The following is a 27,227-nucleotide window of genomic DNA, read 5'->3' on the forward strand; positions in this document are numbered from 1 at the left end:
TATACAAGCACTGGGAGATTTTTGCAATTGATGTATTTTTAATCATTTAAAACTAAGCAAGCCATGACAATATAAAAGACAAACTTACACCACAAATGAAACTACTAACAAAAATAACAAATATACTCATCTGGGGATGGCAGGGGTTGGGGGGAGACCCTCTCCTAAACATAGCAAGCACCAAAGGGCTGCTTTGACTTGCAATACTAAACTCCTTCCAAGAAATTTGGAAGTAAATTCAGAGTAACCAAAGATACAAAAAGCAATATGCAACAGGAGAAAGTATTTGGGTGTGAATAAAGAATCAAAAAATGGGCCAGGTGCAGTGGCTCACGCCAGTAATCCCAGCACTTGGGGAGGCCGAGGCAGGTGGATCATGAGGTCAAGAGATCGAGACCATCCAGGCCAACATGGTGAAATCCTGTCTCTACTAAAAATACAAAAATTAGCTGGGCGTGGTGGAGCGTGCCTGTAGTCCCAGCTACTCGGGAGGCTGAGGCAGGAGAATCGCTTGAACCTGGGAGGCAGAGGTTGCAGTGAGCTGAGATCACACCACTGCACTCCAGCCTGGGCAACAGAGTTTGACTCTGTCTTTAAAAAAAATAATAAATAAAAAAATTTTAAAAATGTACAAAATGAAAGGGACCGTGGCAAAGATGGGGATTCTGTTTCTTCTCCCTGGGTGCTCAGAAAGACATTTCCTATTTCCCTTGGAGTTAGAAGTTGAGACCATGTGAGTGGGTTCTAGACAGTGCAATGTGAGCTGAAGAATTATGCTTCACTACAAAGCACTTGATGAAATTCTGCTTGCTGGTGCTCTTTGCTATCAACCAACTAAATACAAAGAATCCAGCAGGAGACTCCAAGACACCAGATGGAAGGAGTTGAAATTCCTCAATTACATGACAGCCACAGGCTAAACACTCACACTATGACGTGAGCAAGAAATAAACCATTATTGTGTTAAGTCACTGAAATGCTAGTTATGTTAAAGAGTTAGCATCAACTATCCTAATTAATACAGAGATCTTACATATCTAACATCCTCATTTTACAAATAAGGAAACTGATGAACAATGAGCTTTCCAAAAATTATACTAGTTGGTAGGAGAAACAGGTCTCCTGACTTTCTATTCAGGGACTTTTACAAAGTAAAAGATTTCTGTGCTACATTTATAAGTAAAAGTTATTATCACAATATTTGTTCCAAAACCAAAAAAAGGCAGTGCAATCATTTCTTTTTCTTTTTTTTTTTGAAGCAGGGTCTCACTCTGGTGTCCAGGCTCGAGTGCAGTGGCATGACCATGACTTACTGCAGCCTCGACCTCCCAGTCACCTCTGTTTGCAAAAAGAAAAGAATTCTCCACGAAGTTCTTTTTCAGTCTACCATTTTATGATTTGACTCTCTTCATGTCGACAAAATTTCTTGAGTATCTATTAGAACTGTATAAGATTGTGGATATCTGAACATTTATTTACTGACAAAATGTGATTTCATATGGCTTGACTTAATAGTAAATGACAAGCACTGCATTTTTAGAAAGCGCTAATTTTATTAGGTATACATACCTACACACTTTTTTTTTTTTTTTTTTGAGACAGAGTCTCTGTCATGCAGGCTAGAGTGCAATGGTGCGATCTCGGCTCACTGCCACCTCTGCCTCCTGGGTTCAAGTAATTCTCATGCCTCAGCCTCCCAAGTAGCGGGCAGTACAGGCGTGCATCACCATGCCCAGCTAATTTTTGTATTATTAGTAGAGACGGGTTTTCACCACACCGGGCAGGCTGATCTCCAACTCCTGACCTCAGGTGATCTGCACACCTCAGCCTCCCAAAGTGCTGAGATTACAGGCATGAGCCACCATGACATCTTTTTACAAGAAGAAATAATATGCTGACTTGGCCAGGTGTGGTGGCTCACACCTATAATCCCAGCACTTTGGGCGGTCAAGGCGGGCAGCTCACCTGAGGTCAGGAGTTCAAGACCAGCCTGGCCGACGTGGTAAAAACCCTGTCTCTACTAAAAATACAAAAATTAGCCAGGCGTGGTGGTGCACACCCATAATCCCAGCTACTCAGGAGGCTGAGGCAGGAGAATTACTTGAACCTGGAAGGCGGAGGTTGCAGTGAGCCGAGATCGTACCACTGCACTCCAGCCTGGGCTACAAGTGCGAAACTCTGCCTCAAAAATAATAATAATAATAATAATAATAATAATAATAACAATAATAATAATATGCTGACTTAGAGGCTCCTGGACTATTGTCATTAGAACTATAAAGCAAAGTCTATACATCTGAAGAGAAATTTCTTTTAAATATACTCTTCTCCTGTGTCCTTACTGCTTTGTATTACCTTACAAAGAAACTACTACATATACAATTTCAGCTAATGAACATAAAGGATCAAAATTAGTGACTATTAGGCCAAATGTTTTGGCCAAAATTGTTGCAATTACCATGTAAACATAAATCCTGCTTGCCTATTATTCCATCAGTTTATACTTCCACTTAATCAAGGATTTAAGATTGAGTTTGCCTTGTCAGGCTCACAGAGGCTTAAATTACTTGTAAATAAACATTCCCACAAGAGACTACATCATAAACGCTCATATTTATTACATCCCACTCAAATACAACAGTTTCTCTTTTAAAAATTGGCAATCTATACAAAACAGCAATTTAGATTGGCCTTCAGGACAGAGAGGTATGATTCTTAGTAAATCACATTACATCAAGATGCTTTATTCTGAAGATGTAAGAAACGAATATATTTTTACAAAAACACTATATGTCAAGTGAATATATGGTTAGAGTGTAAGAAAAACTTATTTCCCTTGTCTTTAAGATTTTTCTAGAAGAATCTTAATCTTCCTATAAAACCACCTGTCTGATAAAAGGAAGTCTGAAATCTTATCTCCAAATAAATCTTATCTCAAATTAATAAAAGACTAAATTTCAGAAGTTTCTCAGATTTCATTTTTGCTGTTACAGTAATTAAGTTATGCCATTATCTTATGCAGTTGATTTTAAGTGATGAACACCCACCTACATCATTATTTCCATATAGAACCACCAACAATTAATTAGTTCAAACTAAAAATAATGAAATAAAGTATTAAAATGTTCTCCATAACTAAGAAAATACTGTCACTGTCAGCTTTACTATTTCTACCCATCACCACGACTACCCCCCAAAAACCCTACATATCAATACAGCTTTCATCAAATTAGAATCAATTTGCTTGAAAAAACAGAAACATATGCATCACCCATTACTATGTACACATCTGCCAGATAATGATTAGAGGCGGCAAGTATGCCAAGAGTCCAAAAAGCAGGTGAGAATCTTCTGTAGCCTAGAAAAAAGTGTATCTAGAGAAAACATAATAGTCTCCTCTATTCCCAAAGCACTTAAGACTAGTAAGACTTCCTGAAGTCTCCAACTCATAAATGGTCATTGTTTCACAGCTCAAGTAAATACATGTATGAACATGTAAAATAAAAAAGAGTAAGGGAGAACCTTAAATTCTCCAGTTTACTCTCAAATTTTAAAACTCAGAAAAGAGAGATCCAAAGTGGTTTCCCTTTGCCAAAAGCCATCTAGAAAACTAGAGACAAAGCTACAATTAGGACAAACATCTCCCAACTCCCACCAAGCCCAGAGTTCCCTCCCCAAAATGAATACTCACTGAACCCACAAGAGAAGCACCAGTTCAGAGTGCAAACCTAGGTCAAACAGGCCCCTTGGTGCAGTGGCCCATATAGTGTTTTGAAAAATGGCCAATATCTCCAAAATCAGTAATCTTTGAATGAAAATACAGTTTTACAGCTTTTTTAAAAAACAGGGCCAGGCGCGTTGGCTCAGTCCTGTAATCCCAGAACTTTAGGAGGCTGAAATGGGAGGATCCCTTAAGCCCAGGGGCTCGAGACCAGCCTGGGCAGCACAGTGAAACTCCGTGTCTACAAAAAATAAAAAAAATTAGCCGAGCATGCACCTGTGGTTCCAGCTACTCAGGAGACTAAAATGGGAGGATCGTTTGAGCCCGGGAGGTCAAGGCTGCAGTGAGCCATGATTGCGGAACTGCACCTCAGCCTTGGGTGATAGTGTAAGACCCTGTCTCAAAAAAATAAAAAATCCGAAGATCAGGCCATGACTATGTATTTCCACTTAGCAACAATATACTGGAGCTGAGAAATAACTGCCTCTGTAGATACCCATTCACACAATATCTGCAGCATAAGTTCTTAATCAAGACCAACTTCACTCACTTTAACTTCAAGAACGTTGCAGGGGCCAGGCACTGTGGCTCACGCCTGTAATCCCAGTACTTTGGGAGGCCAAGGTGGGCAGATCACCTGAGGCCAGGAGTTTGAGATCAGCCTGGCCAACATAGTGAAACCTCATCTCTACTAAAAACACAAAAATTAGCCAGGTGTGGTAGCACACGCCTATAGTCCCAACTACTTGGGAGGCTGACGCAGGAGAATCACTCAAACCCAGGAGGCGGAGGTTGTAGCGAGCCAAAATCGCACCACTGTACTCTAGCATGGGCAACAAAGCAAGACACCATCTCTGGGGGGGGAGGGAAATTTGCAGGAGTTTAAGTACGACACAGCTGCACTAAAGCTATTTAAATCAACATCAACTCTAAACATTTCTTATTGGTAGTAGAATTTTGGCTGGGTTTTAGTGGCTTGGTTTAACTAAATCACAAAGTCAGTAGACAGGAAAGGTGTGAGAGGGAGAGAAATGGAAAACAAAAGTACCACAAAATGGCTGGGCACGGTGGCTCACACCTGTAATCCCAGCACTTTGGGAGGGTGAGGCAGGTGGATCACAAGGTCAGGAGTTCCAGACCAGCCTGGCCAAGATGGTGAAACCCCGTCTCTACTAAAAATACGAAAATTAGCTGGGCATGGTGGCCGGCGCCTGTAGTCCCAATTACTCAGGAGGCTGAGGCAGAGAACTGCTTGAACCCAGGAGGCGGAGGTGGCAGTGAGCCAAGATTGCGCCACTGCACTCCAGCCTAGGCAACAGAGTGAGACTCCTTCTCAAAAAAAAAAAAAGGTACCACAAAACTAGTGGTAATTCCTTTAGAACATAATCAGAACTTCATTCACACATCCAAAATGTCTTACTTCTGGTCAGGCACCGTGGCAAAGGTCTGTAATCCCAGCATACTGGGAGGCCGAGGCGGGCAGATCGCTTGAGCCCAGGAGTTCAAGACCAGCCTGGGCAACATGGTGAACCCCTGCCTCGATAAAAAATACAAAAAAGGTTAGCTGGTTGTGGTGGCACACACCTGTAGTCCCAGCTACTTGGGAGGCTGAGGTGTGAGGATCACTGGAGTCTGGGAAGTTGAGGATGAGTGAGTCGAAATTGTGCCACTGCACTCCAGCCTGGGCAACAGAGTGAGACTCTGTCTCAAAATTAAATAAGCCAGGTGGGGTGGCTCACACCTGTAATCCCAGCACTTTGTGAGGCCAAAGCGGGCAGATCACTTGAGGTCAGGAGTTCAAGACCAGCCTGGCCGACATGGTAAAACCCTGTCTCTACTAAAAATACAAAAATTAGCCAGGCGTGGTGGTGCACACCCATAATCCCAGCTACTCGGGAGGCTGGCATGAGAATGCTTAAAACCCAGGAGGCGGAGGCTGCAGTGAGCCGAGATGGCGCCACTGAACTCCAGCATGGGTGACAGAGCGAGACTCTGTCTCTAAATAAATAAATAAGTAAATGCATATTTTTTTAAGTCTTACTTCCCTAGGAAGCAATAATCACTAACTCCTTTTTCAGTTTTGTCAATGACCTGAAAAGCTTGGTCCTGACACCTCTGCTTTATGGAAAAGGCAAGAATGCATACTGATTCCTAAGGTAGTAATCTGAACGGTTTAAAATTCCATACATGTAGCTACAGACAACTAGTATAATGGCAGAGATCTTACATGATATTTTAAGATCTAGTTCCAGTAGTAATAAAATCGTAGTAAAAAGAGGTAGGTCGGGCACGGTGGCTTACGCCTGTAATCCCAGCACTTTGGGAGGCCGAGGTGGGAGGATCACGAGGTCAGGGGATCAAGGCCATTCTGGCTAACACGGTGAAACCCCGTCTCTATTAAAATACAAAAAATTAGCTGGGCGTGGTGGCATGCACCTGTAGTCCCAGCTACTCAGGAGGCTGAGGTAGGGAAATCGCTTGAACCCAGGAGGCAGAGGTTGCAGTGAGCCGAGATCCCTACTGCACAGAGCAACTGAGCAAGATTCCATCTCAAAAAAAAAAATATATATATATAATATATGTATTATATATTCATATGTAATATTATGTATTATATATTACATATTCACATGTAATATATATTATATATTTTATATATATGGCATTTCTGGCCAGGTGTGGTGGCTCACGTCTGTAATCCCACCACTTTGAAAGGCTGAGGTGGGAGGATCATCTAAGGCTAAGAATTTGATTTCAGTCTTGGCAACACAGTGAGACCCTGTCTCAATTAGAAAATAAAAAAAAATTTAAACACAGCATTTCCAGTCCTTTCAAACTCAGATGAAGTTTAATTAAAATCTTCAGGGGACACCCCAGTAAAGCAACAGCATACCTCACACCCAGATGCTGGTTTCTAATACCATTCTCTGATAAAGAAACCAAGACTCTTTGGAGAAATGACTAATTCTAGGACTGAGAACAAAATATTCAAGATGAGCCTGAAGTACCTTGTATTTCCAGAAAGTTAGGAAGTGCTAAAAATAAAAATAAAAAAAAAAAAACAACGATAGGGGTAAGTTGGCCGGACGAGGTGGCTCAGGCCTGTAATGCCAGCACTTTGGGAGGCCAAGGCAGGCAGATCACCTGAAGTCAGGAGTTCAAGACCAGCCTGACCAACATGATTAAAACCCGTCTCTATAAAAAACCCAAATATTAACCAGGCATGATGGTGGGTGCCTGTAATCCCAGCTACTCGGGAGGCTGAGACAGGAGAATTGCTTGAACCCAGGAAGTGTAGGTAGCACTGAGCCGAGATTGTACCACTGCACTCCAGCCTGGGCGACAGAGTAAGACTCCATCTCAAAAAAAAAAAAAAAAAAAAAAAAAAGATAGGGGTAACTCAATTACACAGGAGTCAACTAAAAAAGTTCCCAATGACCAAAGCTGGAACAATATAAACAATAGACTGAATAAATAAATGAGAGAGAATAAGCAAGTCTTCAGTGAAGAATTCCAAACAAGATACTCCACTTCCAAGAGGTAGAACATAACCCTTCATCCTTTACATGTGCATAGCACATAGTGACCTCCTTCTAAAGAGTACAATATGAAAATGGGAGGGGGGGGTAAGAGAAATATGACAAATACTACCTAAGCCAAGTGATCAAGACTAATATCAATAGTGATAAATCAGCTGGGTGCAATGGCTTACATCTGTAATCCCAGCACTTTGGCAGGCCAAGGCAGGAGGTTCACTTGAGGCCAGGAGTTCTGACACCAACTTAGGCAAGCAACATGGCGAAACCCCATCTCTATGAAAAATACAAAAATTAGGCTGGGTGCGGTGGCTCACACCTGTAATCCCAGCACTTTGGGAAGCCAAAGTAGGGGGATCTCAAGGTCAGGAGATTGAGATCATCCTGGCTAACATGGTGAAACCCTGTCTCTACTAAAAATACAAAAAGTTAGCTGGGTGTGGTGGCACATGCCTGTAGTCCCACCTACTTGGGAGGCCGAGGCAGGAGAATCACTTGAACCCAGGAGACGGAAGTTACAGTGAGCCAAGGTCGCGCCACTGCACTCCAGCCTGGGCGACAGAGCAAGACTCCATCTCAAAAAAAAACAAAAAAACAAAAAAATTAGCCAGGCATGGTGGTACGTGCCTGTAGTCCCAACTACCCGGGAGGCTGAGGTGGGAGGATCACTTGGGCCCTGGAGGCCAGGGTTGCGGTAAGCCACGATCGTGCCACTGCAACCCAGCCTGGGCAACAGAGCAAGACTCTTTCTCAAAAAAAAATTAGCTGGGCTTGGTGGCATGTGCCTATGGTCCCAGCTATTTGGGAAGCTGAGTTGAGAGGAAGCTTGAGTCGAGTCCAGGAGGTTCCAGTGAACTGTGATCACAGCACTGTACTCCAGCTTGAGTGATAAAGCAAAACACACACATACACACACACATACACACACACACACACACAGACATAAATCATGCTGACATGATTTGATAGTATGCACCCTTGATATAATGTGATAAGAGTGGCACTTTACCTCTGTGATCTTCCTTCTAAAAAGCATAACCTCTGTCTAATCATGAGAAAAAGATCAGACAACTCCCAACTGAAGGACACTCTACAAAATATCAGACCAGTACTCCTCAAAACTGTCAAAGTCATCAAAAACAAGGGAGGTGTAAGAAACTGTCATAGCCAAGAGAAAGCTAAGTATGATAACTAAACATAATGTGGTATCCTAGATGAGATCCTAGAACAGAAAAAGGTATTTAGGTAAAAATTAAGGAAATCTAAATAAACTATGAACTTTAGTTAATAATAATGTATGAAAATTGAGGTCAGGAGTTCGCGAGCGGCCTGGCCAACATGGTGAAACTGCATTTCTACTAAAAAAAAATAATAAAAAAATTAGATGGGCATGGTGGTGTGCGCCTGTAATCCCAGCTACTAGGGAGACTCAGGCAGGAGAATTACTTGAATCTCGGAGGCGGAGGTTGCAGTTAGCCCAAGATCGCACCACTACACTCCAGCCTGGGCAAGAGAGCAAGACTCCGTCTCAAAAAAAAAAAAATTAGCCAGGTGTGGTGGCAGGCACCTGTAATCCCAGCTACTCAGGAGGCTGAGGCAGGAGAATCGCTTGAACCCAGGAGACAGAGGTTGCAGTGAGCTGAGATTGTGGCACTGCACTCCAGCCTGGGTGACAGAGAAAGACTCCTTCTCAAAAACAAACAAAAACAAAAAATTCTAGTAATAACCATTATTTACTTCCAACTTAAATCTGATCCACGACCTAAAACTGCACTCTGAAATAATCTACAATTCCCCTGAGAAACTTAATAAATATAGACAAAAGTGTGTATATCAATTAACTTACAAGTCTCTAATCACTGCAAACTAGCTGACTCTCGTTAAAGCTTCAAATCTTAAAGTTCTACCACTGGTACTCTTAGAAGCTAACTTACCCTTGTTGATCACAGAGAGACAACAGTGACCAAGTCTAATAAAAGCTTATTCATGTACACAGAAACAAAACAAAGTAACTTGGTGATGTGCACATCTAATATTTCCAACCAAATCACAAAACTTTAGAAAGGGCATTTGAATCCAACCTCCTTATTTTAAAAGTGAGAAAAGTCCAAGGAGATTAACAAATATATTTGTTCAAAGTCATCCCTGAGTTCTCAACTAAAAGTAGAATTTCTTTTCTGTCCTATATCCCAAATCAGGAAGCAAGGGGAAAAGGTAGGAGGTATTATCATTCTGATCATCATTTCCTCTGCTAACTTAGAATGCTTTCGTTTCTCAGGGATAAAGAAGGTAAGTCCAGCTATATCTATGTATTGGAAATAGCATCACATAGCTCTCCTTTTTAAAATGGCATGCCCTCCTCATGTGGATTTTTATCTTCTATTTAACTATCAGTTATCGCACTATGCTTCTACAGTTAGTATCTATGATGTGAAAGTTGAAGCCCTGGTTAAAGCTTCTTAAATCTACCATTTTATTTTGTACAAACAGAAAAGTATATTAGTTTTCTTTCCAGCTGTCCTTAATTTTTTTAATTGAAGTGAAGTTTACATAACATACAATTAACCATTTTAAAGTACATTATGATTTCTCTCCAGTTTCAAACTGTCCTTAAGAATTTTTTTATTTTTATTTTTAATTTTTTTGAAACGGGAGTCTCGCTCTGTCACCCAGGCTTGAGTGCAGTGGTAGGATCTCAGCTCACTGCAACCTCCGCCTCCGAGGTTCAAGTGATTCTCCTGCCTCAGCCTCCAGAGTAGCTGGGATTATAGGTGCACGCCACCACAGCCAGCTAGTTTTTGTATTTTTAGTAAAGACGGATTTTTTCACTATGTTGGCCAGGCTGGTTTCGAACTCCTGATCCTAGGTGATCTGCCCGCCTCAACCTCCCAAAGTGCTGGGATTACAGGTGTAAGCCACCGTGTCCAGCCAAGAATTTTTAATTAAAGATGCACTAATCCAAATGTAGATGAGCTACTCAATTTTCAGTTAATTAATCACATCTGAAGATAATGATGGCCTATGCCCTCATATCAAGTGTATCCTGAGCCCTTTTATCATTCTAATCTCTTTCTACACGTGGCCAACCAGAGTGCATACATATTGTGCCAAGTACCTTTCACCTTTTTCTACATATCAGTAGTATTCTATTTCACAGAAAACTCACACTCCTGCCCTAAACATAACCACAGAGTTAGGCTTATTGTGTGGTTAGCCTATCTGGCATGCCTTTGTCTCACAAATGCTTAGAGGACATTTCACACTACTTAGAAAGGAATGATCTCATCCCACTGACCCAACAGCTAATTTTATCAAAAAGCTTTTTGTTAAAAGCTGTGATAACCCAGGAAACCAGATCTATTTTTACTTTTATGGCAAGGAAAAGGAACAGAGAAAACCATAAGGAAAAAACAGCTCACACATTGACCATTTAAAAAAATCACTTAGGGGCCCAGCACAGTGGCTCATACCTGTAATCCCAGCACTTTGGGAGCCCAAGACAGGTGAATTACTTGAGGTCAGGAGTTCGAGACCAGCCTGGCCAACATAGTGAAACCCCGTCTCTACTAAAAATACAAAAAAAGAGCTAAGCATTGTGGCACACACCTGTAATCCCAGCTACTTGGGAGTATGAGGCATGAGAATCGCTTGAACCTGGAGGGGGAGGTTGCAGTGAGCTGAGATCATGCCACCACACTCCACCCTGGGCGACAGAGAGAGACTCTGTATCCAAAAAATAAAAAATTTTTTTTCACTTAGGCCAGGTGCAGTGGCTCACACCTGTAATCCCAGCACTTTGTGAGGCTGAGGTGGGAGGATTGCTTGAGTCCAGGAGTTCAAGACCAGCCTAGGCAACATACTGAGACCTTGTCTCTACAAAATATACAAAAATTAGCCAGGCATGGTGGCACATGCCTGTAATCCCAGCTCCTTGGGAGGCTGAGGTGAAAGATTTGCTTGAGACCAGGAGGTTGAGTCTACAGTGAGCTGTGACTGCACCACTGCACTCCAGCCTGGGAGACAGAGAGTGAGACACTGTCAAAAAAAATAACTTATTCTACAGTTTTCCCCCTTTCTTTGGTGTCTGACTACAAGTGAACAAAAAGAAAAACTTTCAGAATTGTTTAATGCAAGAAAAAAATCATTATTTTAACAATTAAAAAGCAAACTTCATATTACAGTCCAAACACTAAACCTACCTTGGGTCTGATTTGTATGAAAAAAAAAAAAAAAAAAGGATTTCTCTCCAATAAGACCCCAAGAAATATACAAGTCTTCAGTGGGAGATGCAATATAATAAAATGACAAAATATTAAAATTGAAGAAGAAAAAGGAAAAAAAAAAAAGAAACTCCAACCCATATAAAAAAATAAGAACTAGACCAGATGCAGTGGCTGACACCTGCAATCCCAGCACTTTGGGAGGCCGATGAGGGAGGACTGCTTCAGCACAGGTGTTCCAGATCAGCCTGGGAAACATAGGGAGATCCCGTCTCAACAAAAAATTTAAAAATTAGCCAGGCATGGTGGTATGTGCCTGTGGTCCCAGCTACTCAGGAGGCTGAGGTGGGAGGATTGCTGGAACCCAGGAGGTTGAGGCTGCAGTGAGTCGTGATGGCACCACTGCACTCACTCAACAGAGTGAGATCCTGTCTCAATAGACTAAAAATAAAAATAAGAAGAGCCAGCTGGGCATTGTGGCTCACACTTGTAATCCCAGCACTTTGGGAGGCCAAGGCAGGAGGAGCACATGAGGTCAGGAGTTCGAGATCAGCCTGGCCAACATGATGAAACCCCGCCTCTACTAAAATTACAAAAATTAGCCAGGTGTGGTGGCACACACCTGTAATCCCAGCTACTCGGGAGGCTGAGGCATGAGAATTGCTTGAACCTGGGTGGTGGAGGTTGCAGTGAGCCGAGATCCCACCACTGCATTCCAGCCTGGGCGACAGAGCGAGACTCCATCCCCCCCTCTCAAAAAAAAACAGCAGTTATTGCAGACTTATATTCCAGAGACCATTCTAATCACTTTACATAAATTACTTTGCTTAATATGTTGAACAACTCTAGGACATAGATAACCCCATTTAAAATGAGGACACCAGGGCACTTAGAGGTTAAATAACTTGCCTAAGATTGCTCAGCTAGTAAAGTGGCACAACTCTTAATTTACTACCAAATATTGTCTCTCACAGCAATCTTTATAGCAAGCTCTATGCAAAGCAAAATGATCATTCAACAGACTGAAAAGTCAAAGGCTATGATAATAGCCTTTAACAATTGAACACTAGTTTAATTGTTTATAACGCTACCTCCCACCTTTTCCACCCACAGCCACCCAATCCCATCCAGGCTGGGTAACCAGTTAGCTCCCTTCACCAACACCACTACCGACCTGACCCTCAAATGTAACACGTGAAACTGCCACACATTAAGCATTCATCTCCTATTAACTTTATGCCTCCTGTTTTTTAATTCTTAAAAACAGTTGTTATTCATCATTTATCATATTTCTGTGTACTCAAAGTACATGAATGTGCCTTCTGTCTTCGTAGGTCCAAGGGGGCGCCTTCTTGATATCGTCATGTATAGAGCTATGGCCAAATGCTGTGACATAGGGTATGCCCCTCCAGACTCTTGACGAGGCTGTTCTTTCTATGTAAACAGTACCAGTCTCTGAGCTAAAACACTTAAGAAACACAAAATAGATCAAGAGCACTGTTTAGAGTGAATCTCCCTAAGTTTATATGTATCAATCAGTATGCATATGAAAACCAAATGAGTGAAGGCGGCTGATGTAAACAAAAGAGCCTGCAACAGGCAAACATAAGCAATGAAAGCTAATATAGTATCTTCTGGTGTGTAGACCAGCTGTCTGACTTTCTAATGGTGAATGTTAGCCTACAGTAAGATAAAACAAAAGATGACTATAAGGCTGAGAGATAAAGACTAAAATGAGGTTACTGGCTTACAGCCTGAAAAGTATTCTGAAGCCAAAAATCAGATACAGAATTTGGACCCCTATGAAATGCATAAGGCTCTCCCCAAATCTCAACTACACCTCCCTACCCTGTCATTGATTCTTAGTGGGTCAGAATACATTCAGTAAGAATACTAGCATCAACATGAAATAAAATCTAAAAAGGAAATAAACTCTAGTAAATAAAGTTCTGAGGAAAGTAAAAAAGGGTCCCTCCAAGAATAGGAAAAGCTGTCACAAGAGGTACAGAACCTCCCTTTAGCTCTTCATGTGCTGGATTGATCCTATATACTCAAAAGCTGCATCAGAATGAGTAACATATGAATAAGAGTGGATAAGAATACTAAATCAAAAATGATTTATATCAATTATTGTCCATCTTCAATACTAAAATAATTCTTTCACGCTTAATAATTAAAATGCTATTCTTCTTCTCCACCTTTTCACTTTATTTATTTATGAGACAGGGTCTCATTCTGTTACTCAGGCTGGCGTGCAGTGACACAATCTTGGCTTACTGCAGCCTCGATCTCCTGAGGCTCAGGTGATCCTCCCACCTCAGCCTCCCAAGTAGCTGGAACTCCAAGCACATGCCACCATGCCTGGCTAATTTTTGTATTTTTTGTAGAGACAGGGCTTCTCCATGTTGCCCAGGCTGGTCTCAAACTCCTGGGCCCAAGCGATCCTGTCACCTTGGCCTCCCAAAGTGCTAGGATTACAGGTGTGAACCACAGCACCCAGCTTCAATATTTTCAGTACCTACCCCTCAACCTACCTCCATCCCTATGAAAGTCGCCATGACTTCAGGAGCACTCTATATGATATGTACTTCTAGTACACAGTTAATGTATGACATGTGCTTCTACTATACCACTTTATTATTTATGTGCCTATTACCCTCTATAAACTGTGAGCTCAAGAGTGAGGATTTTCGGCCAGGCACAGTGGCTCACGCCTGTAATCCCAGCACTTTGGGAGGCCAAGGTGGGTGGATCACCTGAGGTCAGGAGTTTGAAACCAGCCTGGCCAACATGGCAAAATGCCATCTCTACTAAATATACAAAAATTAGCCAAGCATTGGTGGCAGGCGTCTATAATCCCAGCTACTCAGGAGGCTGAGGCAAGAGAATCGCTTCAACCCAGCAGGTGGAGTTTGCAGTGAGCCGAGATCACGCCATTGCATTCCAGCCTGGGCATCAGAGCAAGACTCCATCTCCAAAAAAAGAAAAAAAAAAAAAAAAAAGAGTGAGGATTTTCGGAATATTTGGATGCTCACCCAGCACCTATCCCAGTTCCAGGAGCATGGCAGATGCAAAAGAACGTATGAAAGAGTGAAGGAAAGAAAAATATGTGTTTTTCTAATTCTCAAGTCTTCATTTTTTTCTTTTTATCACCATCCATGGCAAAAAAAAATTTATATTATGATCCATATTCACATACACATATATAAATGAAACAGAAGTTTTATAAATCAATACTCATCCATACTATGTACAATGCACTGAAACTTTTTTTTTTTTTTTTTTTGAGATGGAGTCCCACTCTGTTGCCCAGGCTGGAGTGCAGTGGCACGATCTTGGCTCACTGCAAGCTCTGCCTTCCAGGTTCATGCCATTCTCCCGCCTCAGCCTCCCAAGCAGCGGGGACTACAGGCGCCTGCCACCACGCCCAGCTAATTTTTTGTATTTTTAGCAGGGACGGGGTTTCACCGTGTTAGCCAGGATGGTCTTGAGCTCCTGACCTCGTGATCCGCCCGCCTCGGCCTCCCAGAGTGCTGGGATTACAGGCGTGAGCCACTGTGCCCGGCCTACTGAAATCTTCTATTCCATTATCTTCTAGTGTTGTTTTGCTTTTAAGAGTTGGCTGTAGGCCAAGGGCGATGGCTCATGCCTGTAATCCCAGCATTTTGGGAGGCTGAGGTAGGCAGATCACACGAGCCCAGGAGTTCAAGATCAGCCTGGGCAACATGGTGAGATCCAGTCTCTACAAAAAATACAAAAATTAGCCAGGCATGGTGATGCACGCCTATAGTCCCACCTATTTGGGAGGGCTAAGATAGGAGAATTACCTAAGCCTGGGGAGGTAAAGGCTGCAGTGAGCCGAGATCATACCACTGCACTCCAGCCTGGGAGACAGAGGGAAACTCTGTCTCAAAAAAAACAAACAAACAAAAACAGCAACAGAAAAAATAGTTGGCAGTGAGTCATAATTTGAAAAATTTCAGTCCTGGTAAAAACCAATCTCTTAACAGAAAGAGGTACTATTAAAACTGGTTTTCAGTTTTCCAGTGCTGACGATCCCCTCACGAGAACAGGCCTCTCACAAAGAATCTCCCTCCCTCTCCAGAAAAAAAGAGCAAGCACAAGAAGTGCCTGGTGCAGAGCCCCAATTCTTACTTCCTGAACGTGAAATGCCCAGGATGCTATAAAATCACCATGGTCGTCAGTCATGCACAATAGTAGTTGTGTGTCTGGCTGCTCTGCTGTCCTCTGCCAGCCTACAGGAAGGCTCTCCTTCAGATAGAGACAGCACTGAAAGAACCCTGAATCAAGATGAGTGGGAAACTATATCAATAAACACATATGGATGCCAAAAATAAATAAAAGTAGTTTTCAAACTTTAACGTGGACATCCCATGGAAAGGTGGTTTAAAAGAGATTATGAAGTTCTATTCCCAGAATTTGATTTAGTAAATCTGGGTAGGAGTCCAGAAATCTGTATTTTAAAGCAGTCCAAATGGTTCTGATGCAGATGATAAAACAATCCTTATCAGAAACATGCTTACATAATTTAAGATTTAATCTCAAAAGTCATAGCTTGAACTCTTCTTGCACTAAGTTAAAGGTTAAACAAAGTATCTGCAAGAGGATTCTGTCCTGCTAACAGACTGGTTTTTAATCTGAACATTGTTTGGCTCAACAGTCCTTTCATAGACTTCCTCTAAAGCAACTTGGTAAGCCACTAAAATCTAACTGTTCCTCTTAACTACAGCCCTTTGCACCAAGAAAACAGAAGAATGATATAAATGAAAGGCATTTCTGTTGCCCAGTCATTGGCTCTATAACTGAAAGGGCTTTTGAAAACCAGTCACATTGACTATACAAGTGACATATGCAGTCATCAGTTTGGAATCTCTAAGGACTACAGCTCAAAAACAATCACTAACAGCTCAAAGTCTGACCCCAAAGTGCTTAAAAGCCATTGATGAAATAAAGCCTTCATAAGAACATTCTACAATCCACGCTTCTACTCCTTGCTATTACAAGCCAATAGGATCTTAAGGTTTTAAATTTGACAAAATCATATTATTTATTTTTATTTTTTTATTTTTTTTTGAGACGGCATCTTGCTCTGTCCCCCAGGCTAGAGTTCAGTGGCGTGATCTCGGCTCACTGCAAGCTCCGCCTCCTGGGTTCAGGCCATTCTCCTGCCTCAGCCTCCCGAGTAGCTGAGACTACAGGCGCCTGCAGCCATGCCCAACTAATTTTTTTTTATTGTTAGTAGAGATGGGGTTTCACCATGTTAGCCAGGACGGTCTCGATCTCCTGACCTTGTGATCCGCCCGCCTCGGCCTCCCAAAGTGCTGGGATTACAGGCGTGAGCCACCGCGCCCAGCCTATTTATTTATTTTGTAAGACAGAGTCTCACTGTCACCCAGCTGGAGTGCAGTGCCGCAACCTCGGCTCACTGCAGCCTCTGCCTCCCAGGTTCAAGCAATTCTCCTGCCTCAGCCTCCTGAGTAGCTGGGACTATAGGCATGCGCCACCACACCCAGCTAATTTTTGTATTTTTAGTAGAGACGGGGTTTCACCAATTGGTCAGGCTGGTCTTGAACTGCTGACCTTATGATCTGCCCGCCTCAGCCTCCCAAAGTGCTGGGATTAAAGGCGTGCGTGCGCCACCACATCCAGCCAATTTTTGTATTTTTGATAGAGACGGGGTTTTGCCGTTGTTAGCCAGGCTGGTCTTGAACCCCTGACCTCAGGTATCTGCAAGCCTTGGCCTCCCAAAGTGCTGGGATTACAGGTATAAGCCACCATGCCCAGCCAATAAAATTGTATTTTAAATGCACCAAGTACCTGCGTCAACAATCCAAAAATGATATTAAGAAAACAATTCTGCTTAAAATAGCATAAAAAAATACTTAAAAGAAGTGAACAATTTATTTATTTATTTTGAGATGGAGTTTTGCTCCTGCTGCCCAGGCTGGAGTGCAGTGGCACAATCTTGGCTCACTGCAACCTCCGCCTCCCGGGTTCAAGCGATTCTCCTGCCTCAGCCTCCTGAGTAACAGAGATTACAGGCACATGCCACCATGCCCGGCTAATTTTTGTATTTTTAGTAGAAATGGGGTTTCATAATGTTGGTCAGGCTAGTCTCAAACTCCTGACCTCAGGTAATCCACCTGCCTTGGCCTCCCAAAGTGCTGAGATAACAGGCATAAGCCACCGTGCCCGGCTGAAGTGAACAATTTATACTCTGAAAAATTAAAAAAAAAAAATTCCTGAAAGAAATTAAGGAAGATTTAAATAAATGGAAAGACATTTAAGTTCATGGATCAGAAGATTTAACATTGCTAAGATGGCAATGCTTCCCAAACTGATCTACAGATTCAGGCACAGTGGCTCACTCCTGTAATCCCAACACTTTGGTAGGCCAAACTGGGCATTATTACTTGAGCCCAGGAGTTCAAGACCAGCCTGGGCAACATGGCAAAACCCCATCTCAGTCTGGGTGATGCGGTGCGACCCTGTGTCCAAAAAAATACATGAAAATCACACCAAGCTTCTTTGTAGAAATTGACAATCAATCCTAAAATTCATATGGAAATTCAAGGGACCCAGAATAGCTAAAACAACCCTGAAATAAAAACAAGGTTGACGGACACATACTTTCCACTTTCATAACATACTACAGAAAGCTATAATAGTCAAGACAATGTGGTACTAGTATAAGCACAGACAAAGTCCTGGGAGGGTAGCACACCCGAATTCCACCAGGAGAGATGCTCCTGCTCTCAGGACCTTTCCAGACCTTGTCTTATATATCTCTTCAGCTGGCTATTTATGTGTATCCTTTAAAATATCCTTTGTAATAAACTGGTAAACATGTGTTTTCGAGTTGTGCGAGCTGCTCTAGCAAGTTAAGCCCATGGCTATAAATGGGAACACCAATTTATAGCCAGTCAGTCAGAAGCACAGGTAAAATAAGCGGGAGCTTACAACTGGCATGTGAAGTGTGGGGAGAGGCAGTCTTGGAAACTGAGCCCTCAACCTGTGGAATCTTGATGCTATCTCCAGGTTGATTATGTCAGAATTGAGTGGCTGTCAGCTGCAGAAATGACTGCTTGCTTGCCTGCTGGTGGGGAGAAATCCCCACACATCTGCTTTCAGTAGGGTGCTATAAGAATATCAGCAGTAGGAGAAACGGAGTTTGTTTTTTCCACACACACCTGTATCTAAAATACCAAAAACTCTGGCAACTTAATAATAAAAAGGCAAATTAATTTAAAAATGAACAAAGAATCTGTACATTTCTCCAAAGATAATATACAAATGGCCAATAAACACATTAGTCACCAGAAAAATGAAAGTCAAAACCACAATGAGATCCTACACCCAGTAGCATGACTAAAATAAAAAAAAACAGGTAATGAATGGCAAGTGTTTTAGATGTGGCAAGAACTGGAACCCTCATATACTGCTAATGAGAACATAAAATGGTGCAGCCACCTTGAAAAAGTCTGGGAGCTCCTCAAAAGATTAAACAGAGTTACCATATGAAAGCAGAAATAACCCAAATGTTCCTCAACAAATAAATGATAAATAAAATGAGGTACATACATACAATGGAATATTATTCAGCCATAAAAGGGAATAAAGTCCTAATACATGCTACAAGATGGGTGAACCCTGAAAACATCACAAAAGACCACCTACTATATTAATCTGTGTATATAAAATATCCAGAGTAGGTAAATTTATACAGAAAGTAGATTCATGGTTGCCTGGGGCTTGGGGTTTATTGTATTAGGGAGTGATAAAGAACATGGGATTTCTTTTGGGGGTCATGAAAATGTTCTAGACTTTACTGCACTAATGGTGCACATGTCTGTGAATATACCAAAAAACAATGAATTGTACATTTTATTTATTTATTTATTTTTTGTGATGGAGTCTTGCTCTGTCACCCAGGCTGGAGTACAATGGCATGATCTTGGCTCACTGCAACCTCCGCCTCCTGAGTTCAAGCGATTCTTGTGCCTCAGCCTCCCAAGTAGCCGGGATTACAGGCACGTGTCGCCATGCCCGGCTAATTTTTGTATGTTTAGTAGAGACGGGGTTTTGCCATGTTGGTCAGGCTGGTCTCGAACTCCTGGCCTCAAGTGATCTACCTGCCTCGGCCTTCCAAAGTGCTGTGATTACAGGCATGAGCCACTGTGCCTGGCCTGAATTCTACACTTTAAGTGGGTGAATGGTATGGTATATAAAATATATCTCAACAAAACTGTTACCAAAAAGAGAGATAACACCAAACACATGAAACTTCCTTCCTATGAGATTATTCTTAATACTAGCTTTAAGGATATTTCCTTTTTGCATTACTTTTAGAATATTTTCTACAAATATTATTTTCAGTCAGTCCAAGTTTTTTAAAAGCAAAACTTGTCAAAGGAAACATACTTTGTTAGAGATGCATATACAAACTCTGCAAAGAAAAGGCTAGTTAGGGGGTACCCCTAAAAACTAAGAAGAAAAATTAAACTTTCCACAGTTTACAAACAGGCAGCTTTCATTTTACACAATAGTGCAAAACCGTAAAAGTAAGAATGCACGCTGAAACCATGCAAAGTGATCATAATAATTAATGAGAAAAACTGCAATTGCTCTGTAATCTTTTTTTTTTTAAAATTGAGACGGAGTCTCGCTCTGTGTCCAGTCTAGGGTGCAGTGGCGCGACCTTGGCTCACTGCAATCTCCACTTCCTGGGGTCAAGCGATTCTCCTGCCTCAGCCTCCTGAGTAGCTGGGACTACAGGCACGTGCCACCACACCCAGCTAATGTTTGTATTTTTAGTAGAGATGGGGTTTCACCATGTTGGCCAGGATGGTCTCGATCTCCTGACCTCGTGATCTGCCCACCTAAGCCTCCCAAAGTGCTGGGAGTACAGGCGTGAGCCACTGCACCCAGCCGCTCTGTAATTTTTTTTTGTTTTTGTTTTTTGAGACAGTCTCACTCTGTTGCCCAGGCTGGAGTGCAGTGGCGCAATCTCGGTTCACTGTAAGCTCCACCTCCCAGGTTCATGCCATTCTCCTGCCTCAGCCTCCCGAGTAGCTGGGACTACAGGCACCCGCCACCACGCCCGGCTAATTTTTTTGTATTTTTAGTAGAGACGGGGTTTCACCATGTTAGCCAGGATGGTCTCGATCTCCTGACCTCGTGATCCACCCGCATCAGCCTCCCAAAGTGCTGGGATTACAGGCGTAAGCCACAGTGCCCGGCCGCCACTCTGTAATTTTTAAAAAATTTTGGGCCAGGCACAGTGGCTCATGCCTGTAATCCCAGCACTGGGAGGCCGAGGTGGGCAGATCACTTGAGGTCAGGAGTTCGAGACCACCCTGGCCAACATGGCGAAACCTCATGTCTACTAAAAATACAAAAATTAGCCAGGGGTAGTGGCACACGCCTGTAATCCCAGCTACTTGGGAGGCTGAGGCAGGAGAATTGTTTGAACCTAGGACGGGTTCACTACAGAGGTTGCGTGAGCTGAGACTGCACCACTGTACTCCAGCCTAAGTGACACAGTGAGACTCCATCTCAAAAAATAATTTAAAAAATAAAATAAATATTACCCAGGGGTGGTGGTGAGCACCTGTAATCCCAGCTACTCGGGAGGCTGAGGCAGGAGAATTGCTTGAATCCAGGAGGTAGAGGTTGCAGTGAGCCGAGATCACACTACTGCACTCCAGCCTGGGCAACAGAGCAAGATCCTATCTCAAAAAAAAGAATTTTTTTTTTGTTGAGGCCAGGCACAGTGTCTCACACCTGAGATCCCAGCACTTTGGGAAGCTGAGGCAGGCAAATCACCTGAGGTCAGGAGTTCAAGACCAGCCTGGACAACATGGTGAAAACCCATCTCTACTAAAAATACAAAAAATTAGTCAGGCATGGTGGTGCATGCCTATAATCCCAGCTGCTAGGGAGCCTGAGGCAGGAGAATCGCTTGAACCCAGGAGGCGGAGGTTGCAGTGAGCCGAGATCGCACCACTGTGTTCCAGCCTGGGTGACAAGAGTGAGACTCAGTCTCAAAAAAAAAAAAAAAAAAAATTTCATTGAAACATTAAAAACTCTGTCAGTTATAATTATAGGAAAATTGAAAGAACAGGAAAACTAATCATTAATGCACTAAAGCAGGAGGTGAGCGAAGGGCAGGCGAGCATCTCTGCCTCCTGTCACATCAGTCGTGGCATTAGATTCTCATAAGAGCACAAACCCTACTGTGAACTGTGCATGCGAGGGCTCTAGACTGTGCACTCTTTATGAGAATCCAATGCCTGATGATCTTCTGAGGTGGAAGAGTTTTATCCCGAAAACATCCCCTCCCCCAGCGTCCCCTTCCATGGAAAAACTGTCTTCCACTAAATCAGTGCTAAAAAGGTTGAGGACCACTGCACTAGAGAACATAGAAATATTGAAAATTATAATGTTTAAGTTCTTTGAAAAAATTTATTAGGGGTAGTTTAAATAGTGCTTACATTCTTCTCATCATACAATAGAGACGGGGTTTCACCCTGTTAGCCAGGATGGTCTCGATCTCCTGACCTTGTGATCCGCCTGCCTCGGCCTCCCAAAGTGCTGGGATTACAGGCGTAAGCCACCGCGCCCGGCTGCAATAGACATCTTTTCTATGCCTTAGCCAATTGTCACACTCCTGTCTGAGTCTGGAATAGCATCAAATACTTTATGTTTCATATTTCAATATCACAGAATACCTTCGAGAGTTCTTTCACTACAAAATTTCTTGCATCACTTCTTTTTTTTTTTTTTTTTTTTACCAAACCACTTTCTTCACTTATGTAGATAAGCTCACCTTCACTAAGTTATTTCGGCTACATATCCAGAGTGTTTTGAATGAGAGCATCAGCATTCCCTCAGTGATCTATTTCTTCTATAACTCCATTTGAGTTCAATTTGAATTTCACTTCCACTGTTGTTACTTTTTGGTTTTTTCCTGAACTTTCATCTTTTTCGGCCAATTCTCTCTATCGGTTATCGATTTTTCTTAACTATCACATAGATTTATCACTGGGAGACAAGGAGGTAACACAAACCCATGCTTTGCACAGTTGTTACTTATGTAGTGACAGAAGAGCTGGCAGCGAATTTTGTACTTTATACGATTATTCACAGTTAATATGCTGTGTAAAATTTAAACCATGTTATTAGGGAATTGGTATTATTTAACCAAACCATGGTAAGTGAAAGTGTATATGAGAACCACATAAAGCAACAACTCCCTGTATATCACATCACAAAATCACAGAACTTAAAAGCCTTCTTCACAGTAATCTAGCCACAGTGTGTATGTGGACCCTTGATGTAGTATTAATGACCCGTCTACTTCCTGCCTGACCATTTCAAGTGATGCCCACATTACTTCACAGGGTGGCTCTTTCATTGTTGAACACTTCTAACAGTTAGAAAAATAAAGCCCCCAGCTAGTATAATGGTCAAAAGCACAGGTTCTAAAATCAGACCACCTGAATTCCTATCCTTTCTTTTCCTCTGTTGAGCTAGGTAAATTTGGGCAAGGTATGTAATCTCTCCATGACTGTTTACTCATCTATAAAATAAAAATGTTAGCCGGGCGCGGTGGCTCACGCCTGTAATCCCAGCACTTTGGGAGGCTGAGGCGGGTGGATCACGAGGTCAGGAGATCGAGACCATCCTGGTTAACACGGTTAAACCCCGTCTCTACTAAAAATACAAAAAATGAGCCGGGCGTGGTGGCAGGCGCCTGTAGTCCCAGCTACTCGGGAGGCTGAGGCAGGAGAATGGCGTGAACCCAGGAGGCGGAGCTTGCAGTAAGCCGAGACCACACCACTGCACTCCAGCCTGGGCAACAGAGTGAGACTCCGTCTCAAAAATAAATAAATAAATAAATAAATAAATAAATAAATAAAAATGTTAAGGCCTTCAATCATGAAGTTGTTATGAGGGATGGCAAGTGTTCAGTAAATTATAACCTATATAATTTATCATATTATCATCATCGTCTGTAGAGTGCTTAGTCTTCCTTATCCATCCCCATGTACTTTGGTTCAAACCCCTCACCTAGATTCTGCACTAGACTCAACTGAACACTGACAGTCTCTCACCCAGTTCTCCATATGGTCACCAGAATTATCTCTCTAAAAATAAAATCTGACTCCGGTCAGCATAAACAATTTAGCCTAAAGCCATCAGGTAGGGTAGAGCAAGCAGAGCAAAATCAGAGTCTTCGTTTAGGGGTGGGGAGGAAGCCATGGTGGCTGAAAGCAGGGTATCAAATACCAAGCAAAGTGGGGAGGGAATTCATGTGGTAAGGTGGCCTGGCCCAACATAACTTATAAGGAGTCAAAAGACGGCTACTATTTTAAAAAGATGACATGAAACCTACAAATTGAGGAAACACAATAGTCCAAGAGGGAAAGAAAACCCAACATCTGTCAAGTAGACACAATTACTTACTTTAACTCCATGTTTTCTTGTTTCCTTGTAAACACATGGGTGTTTTGGTGTTCGTTCATTTTGTTATTTTCTTAGCACTGGTTTTCACAAAATTCACTTTCGGAATAAAATTTCATTTGGAATGATGTCTCTCTTGAATTTGTCAACAAAAGGAAACTCCTAGTGATGCCTCATCATCAGCTACACAAATATTTGGTATTTGAAAAAATGCTGGTTCTTTAAAAAACACATTTGTGGTTCTCTATCACTTAAAAAATAAAGAGACAGAGAGAGATGTTTGGCACAGTGACACACAGCCTATAGTTCCATCTACTTGGAAGGCTGAGACAGAAAGGATTGCTTGAGTCCAGGAGTTCAAGGCTGCAATGAGCTATGATTATGCCTGTGAACAGCCACTGTACTGGGCAATGTATCTAGACTCCCATCTTTTAAAAAGAGAGAGAGAAAGAGAAAGTACAAAAGAGAAAAGAAAATGACAAGAACAAAGAAAAAAGCAGACAATATTAACTGTGAATCTAAAATAGGTTGTAGAGCTCCTCCTGATGCTGTAACCTGATCATGGTGCACACTGATAAGCTCCCATTACAACATAAGAAAGCCACAGACAATGGAGCAAGTCATCACCTTCCTTGTATTACAATCTCATGTCCTTGCTTTGGATGCTGTGCCTCCTAACCACACCTAGTAAAAGTAGCATCACTTATTTGGCAACATCTAGTATTTAAGAACCAAGTAAAGGCCTGAAAGGAATTACCAGGCAAGACTGGATGGTACTGTGCAAGGAACACACACTTTATCATCAGGTAGATCCAGATCTCAATTATCTTTTTTTTTTTTTTTTTTTTTTTTTTTTGAGACAAAGTCTTCACTCTGTCACTCAGGCTAGAGTGCAGTGGCAGCGCCAAGGCTCACTGCATCCTCAACCTCCAGGACTCAAGTGATCTCCCACCTCAGCCTCCAGAGTAGCTGAGACCACAGGTGCATGCCGCCACACTGGGCTAATTTTTTAAATTTTTTTGTAGAGACAGGATCTCACTATGTTGCCCAGGCTGGTCTCAAACATTATGACACTGATACATAACTGTTAACTAGACTACAGACCTTATTCAGTTTTCACTATTTTTTTTAACCTGCATTTGTGTGTGTATTTCTAAGCAGTTTTGTCTCATGTATAGATTTTTATAACCACAACTGCAATCAAGATACAGAACTGTTCTGCTACCTCTCTGTATTTATAGCCCCTCCACCTACTACCCCCCTGTCCCCTGGCAATCACTAATCTATTCTTCATCTTTACAGTTTTGTCACTTTGAGAATGTCATATAAATGGAACTATATAATATGTGACCTCTTGAGATAAGCTTTTCCACTAAGCACATTACCCTTGTAGTCTATTCAAGGTGTTGCAGGTTATCTATAGCTTGCTTGTTCCTTTTGATTACTCAGTAGTATTCCATGCTATGGATGTCATATGTTTTGCTTTACACTTGTTGACACAACATTTGGATTGGTTCACATTTTGCTGTTTTGAATAAGTCTGCTATGAACAGTTACGTACAAGTTTTTAAGTGAACATAAATTTTATTTTATTTGGAGTAAATAACCAAAGGAGTGATTTCTGGGTAGTATGGTAAGTACATGTTTAATTTTTAAAGAAACTGCCAGCTGGATCCAGCACCTGTAATCCTAGCACTTTGGGAGGCCAAGGCAGGAGGATCGTTTGAGCCTAGGAGTCTGAGACCAGTCTGAGTAACATAACCGTACCCTGTCTCTACAAAAAATGCAAAAATCAGCCGGGCATGATAGTGCATACCTATAGACCCAGCTACTTGGGAGGATGAAGTGGGAAGATCACTTGAGCCCAGGAGTTCAGGTTGCAGTGAGCAATGATGGCACCACTGCACTCCAGCCAGGGTAACAGAGTGAGACCAGGTCTACTAAAAAAATTGACTAGTAAAAATTAAATTAAGGCCAGGTGTGGTGGCTCATGCCTGTAATCCCAGCACTTTGGGAGGCCAAGGCAGGCGGATCGCGACGTCAGGAGTTTGAGACCAGCCTGGCCAACATAGTGAAACCCTGTCTCTACTAAAAACACACACACAAAAAAATAGCTGGGCATGGTGGCGCGTGCCTGTAGTCCCAGCTACTCGGGAGGCTGAGGTAGTAGAATTGCTTGAACCCAGGAGGTGGAGGTTGCAGTGAGCCGAGATCGCACCACTGCACTCCAGCTTGGGCAACAGAGTGAGACTTCGTCTGGGAAAAAAAATAAATTAATTAAATTAAATTAAAAATTTTTGGCCGGGTGCAGTGGCCCATACCTGTAATCCCAGCAATTTGGGAGGCCAAGGCGGGTGGATCACCGGAGGTCAAGAGTTTGAGACCAGCCTGGCCAACATGGTGAAACCCCGTCTCTACTAAAAATACAAAAAGTAGCTGGGCGTGGTGGCACACACCTGTAATCCCAGCTACTCGGGAGGTTGAGGCAGGAGAATCGCTTGAACCCGGGAGCCAGAGATTGAAGTGAGCCGAGATGACACTACTGCACTCCAGCCTGGCAAAAGAGCGAGACTCCATCTCAAAAAAAAAAAAAAAATAGTAAAGTCAAAAGGCAAATAACGGAGTAGAAGAAAATATTTGTGTTACATGTACTACACAATGGATTAATTTTTATAATATACTAAGTGCTCTCACAAACAAACAGAACAACTATCAACAACCCAACAGAAAAATGAGTCCAGGACACAAACTCTTCATAGAAATCCAAATAATAAATGTGAAAAAAAAATTCAGCCTCTTTCATCTAAAAAGAAATACAAATTAAACAATGAGATACTATTTTTCATTTCTCAGAAAGATTCGGTTTTCATTTAATATTCCTGTATTATCTGATTTTCTTAGTGTTGTTTCAATTTATCATAAACTTAAAAAAAAAAAAAAACTATAGAGGACGTGCGCGGTGGCCCACAACTGTAATCCCAACACTTTGGGAGGCTGAGGCAGGCGGATCACAGGTCAAGAGATCGAGACCATCCTGGCCAACATGGTGAAATCCATCTCTACTGAAACTACAAAACTTAGCTGGGCATGGTGGCGCATGCCTGTAATCCCAGCTACTCGGGAGGCTGAGGCAAGAGAATCGCTTGAACCCAGGAGGCAGAGGTTGCGGTGAGCTGAGATCGCGCCATTGCACTCCAGCCTGGGCAACAAGAGTGAAACTCCATCTCAAAAAAAAAAAAAAGGCAGAAAGCCAAAACTATTCTA

General features: G+C 42.2%; 1 protein-coding gene and 1 pseudogene across 151 annotated transcripts in view; one reads left to right on the forward strand and one right to left on the reverse strand.

Moving 5' to 3' along the window:
- Nucleotides 1–27,227, reverse strand: part of MAP4 (microtubule associated protein 4) — a 238,154-nt gene that overhangs the window by 173,021 nt on the left and 37,906 nt on the right. The gene's annotated exons all lie outside the window — the stretch shown is intronic.
- RPS27P30 (ribosomal protein S27 pseudogene 30) lies at nt 15,552–15,775 on the forward strand (annotated as a pseudogene).

Source organism: Homo sapiens, chromosome 3 (genome assembly GCF_000001405.40).
Source record: "Homo sapiens chromosome 3, GRCh38.p14 Primary Assembly".
NCBI lineage: Eukaryota > Metazoa > Chordata > Mammalia > Primates > Hominidae > Homo > Homo sapiens.